The sequence below is a fragment of the Homo sapiens genome, chromosome 11 (assembly GCF_000001405.40).
Source record: "Homo sapiens chromosome 11, GRCh38.p14 Primary Assembly".
Classification (NCBI taxonomy): Eukaryota; Metazoa; Chordata; class Mammalia; order Primates; family Hominidae; genus Homo; species Homo sapiens.
The window spans coordinates 15,028,780-15,032,675 of record NC_000011.10 but is presented as its reverse complement, the minus strand read 5'-3'; positions in this window follow the sequence as shown (position 1 = coordinate 15,032,675).

Sequence of the window (3,896 nt, the reverse complement as noted above, 5' to 3'; positions counted from 1 at the left end):
ATCTTTATAAAAGGCTTTTGGACTCTCCCATGTGCCATGTTTTTCTCAGAGTAATCATTGGTGCCATTGCTGGTTACACTATAAAACTCTCAACGGACTGGAGTGCATCATAATGCTAAGAGTTTCAGACAGATGGAACAGTGTGGAAAATGAGCAGAAGCTGGAGGAATATTCTTTCTTTGGTAATGGTGCATAATTGTTCCTTTTTGAAGGGTTCCACTCTTGCATAGAACAGACATCAATGGTGACTCTTTCTTTGGTGCTCCAGAATAGCAACAAAACCAGGACTTGAATCATGAAGCAGCACACATCTTCTAGTTTCATTTGTAAAACAAAACAATAGATTTGGTTTTTCTCTTAGTCTATTTATGCTGCTATAACAAAATACCACAGACTGGGTAATTTATAAAAAACAGAAACTTATTTTTTCACGGTTATGGAGGCTGGGAAGTCCAAGAACAAAGGACCAAAAGATTCAGTATCTGTTGAGGGCTGCTCTCCGTCTCCAAGATGGCGCCCAGCTGCTGCATCCTGCTGAGTGGAGGAATGCAGTGTCCTCACATGGCCAAAGGCTGAAGGGCAAGCTAGACGAACACTGCATGAAGCCTCTTTTTCTAAATGTTATATGTATTATATACTGAATTCTTACAATAAAGTAAGCTAGAAAAAATAAAATGTTATTAAGAAAATCATAAGACAGAGAAAATACATGTACTATTCATTAAGTGGAAGTGGGTTATCATGAAGGTCTTCGTTCCCATTGTCTTTACCTAGAGTAGGCTGAGGAGGAGGAGGAAGGGGAAGAGTTTGTCTTTACTGTCTCAGAGATGGCAGAGGTGGAAGAGGTGGAGTAGGTGGAAGGGGAAACAGGATATGTAGGCACACTTGATGTAATATTTTTTGAAAAAAATCCACAAGTCTACCCTAGCAGTTCAAACCCAAGTGGACCCATATTAGTTCAAACTAATATTCAGTTGTTCAAGGATCAACTGTATGTACATTAGTCTGCTAGGACTGCCATAATCAAATATACAGACTGGGTGGCTTAAACAACAGAAATTTATTTTCTCACAGTTCTGGAGTCTGGGAGTTCAAAATCAGAGTGTCAGCAGGTTTGGTTTCTCCTGAGACCTCTCTCTTTGACTTGAAGACAACCACTTTTTTGTTAGGTTGAAGCCTCTTTTATATAGACCCAATCCCACTTATAAGGAAGGAGCCTAATAGCCTAATCACCTCTTAAAGACTCCACCTCTTAATTCTGTCACATTCCTAATAGCTGAATTTTGGAGGGGACACATTCAAATTATAGCTGTAGTCTTCGTTAACTGGGAATTCTCAGTGTCTAGATACAATCTAAATATTTAATGCTGGGTATATGTGTGTGTTGCACAAGCGTTTCAGTCCAAAAATGCAGACAGTTAGAAATATGCATGTCTTAAAAACTACAAATCATCTTAGTAATGATTCAAATTGCCATCATGTCAAACTGGTGAAATTCTACCTTAATCATTTACACTTCCTAAACCCCAACCATATTATCAGTTTCTGAAATCAGATTCCCCAGAATCAGAACCTGTGAATGAGATTTATTAAGAAATATTACTGGGCCAGGCATAGTGGCTCATGCCTATAATCCCAGCCCTTGGGAGGCTAAGACAGGAGGATTGCCTGAGCCCAGGAGTCTGAGACCAGCCTGGGCAACAAAATGAGACCTCATCTCTACAGGGAAAAAAAAAAATCACCAAGAAAAACTGGTAATAAAGGAAAAATGAGATGGAAAACACTCTAGCAAGAGTGCAATATCAAGACAAGTCCCCAGTAGGGTAATTTTGACTCGGTCCCACAGAGGAGCTTTGGATACAGTGTAGATTATAATATTAGTCCTGCCCAGGAGCTGAGGAGCTAGAATATTTAAATTCTGCACACTCATCAGTCATTGGTTAAGAGCTAACCTTCAGGTTTGTGAATTCCCAAGAACAACTGGCTCTCTACGTGAAGAGATAAAGGGTCTCCAGAGACCCCTGACAAAAAGATGCAGAAGCTGATGAGCATGATAGTTGTAAAAGGGATCCAAGGAGATGTAGGCAGAGTACTAACAATATCTGCTACAGCCCAGGTCTTGTGCTGTTCGGATCCGCTATTCCTCACACTAAGTTTACTCCACTAATTCTTCAGGATAGTGGCTGTTCACAATTCTAGGGAAAAATGGGACTTTTTGTGAGAAGTGTTAATGGAATAAGCTGTCTTAGTCTGTTTGTGCTGCTATAAAATACCTGAGATTGGGTAATGTACAAAGAACAGAAATTTATTTTTTTCGCAGTTCTGGAGGCAGGGAGTCCAAGCTCAAGGTGCCAACAGATTCATTGTCTGGTCAGGGCTGCTTTCTGCTTCCAAGATGGCACCTTCTCATTGCATCCTCACGTGGTAGAAGGGCAAAAAGGAACTAACACTGTGTCCTCACATACAGAAGAGATGGAAGGGCTAGACAGCTCTCTGAAACCTTTTTCATAATAAACTTCATTATTCCCATTCATGAAGTTAGAGCCCTCATGACTTAATCACTTCCAAAAACACCTCACCTTTTAATACCATCACCTTAGGATTTAAATTACAAGATCAGAATTTTGAAGGGACACAGATTCATACCATAGAATCCCTGCTGCAGTTGTTGATCTCAAGATCATCACTGATATTTATTATGTTACCCCTTTACTATCCACTTCAGATTTCTTTCCACCATTGTCTACTACTTCTGCTGGTCTGAATTGCTTTCGTGGTGTTGTGACCCTAATTTTCATCCCTAAGGAGCCAAAGCCTCTAGTTATCAAGTCTTTGTTGGGTCATCTTTGTTGTAATTGCCTATTCACAGTTAAAACTGGGTTGGAAATACAAAGCAATACCCCAGCAGGTTCCCTGGGTTCCAGATATACTTCTCCCTGCTTCCATTATTTAGCATCAACCATACCTCCTTACAGTGATCAGGGTTAACTACCCCATAGTATAGTAAGTTTTTTCTTTCTCTATTGTTTTACTAGCAGGGAGAGACAAAAATTACCAGGCAGCAGCCATAACTTGAGGCTTGATAGAATCCTGACTGTGCCCAGGTAGAATAATACCCATCCCCCAACCCCAGGAATCAGGACTTATAGACATGATGAGCCTCAAATGGCTGAGACAAGAAGCTCAAATTCTCCAAGTGAGTCACTGGGTGTGATCATGAGAGGCATATGTTGAAGTCGCTCACTATTGTTCTGTTCTTATCAATTTCTATTACATCCTCAGCGATTCTAATTAAATAGATATGGGATGAAACCTAGATTTCTGTATTTTTAAACAACTCCCTGAATAATTCTGATGATTACTCTTTACCACTATGGCACACCACTATGAGTGAAATTGATTCATTCATTCAAAAAATATTTATTGAGTACCTACTATATCCCAGTGCTCTAGATGCTGGGATATAGATCTCATTGTTCAACAGTGCAACAGTGAGATCTGTATAGATATAACTGGATATATATATATATATATATATATATATATACATACACATATATGTACATACACACATGTATACACACATATAAACAACTTACAGAAATACAGTATCATTATTAAAGCAGGAAACTAACATTAGTATAATGTTATTTATGTCTGGAAAGTGATCCTTTTCTTCCTTTTCTTTTTACCTTAGTTTTTCCAGTAGCTTTCTATCTCACCCTATCATAAAATTTCCTGCTTGAATCCTTGTTTTCTTTAATTTCCCTGAAAGCACAATGTGGTTATAGTTAAAATGTTTCTGTTTCCTAGAGTAAATGTTCCAAAATGTTACTTTCATCCATCTTTTGCATAAAATGTTCTTTTAATCCTTTTCACTATAAAATGTTTATTTG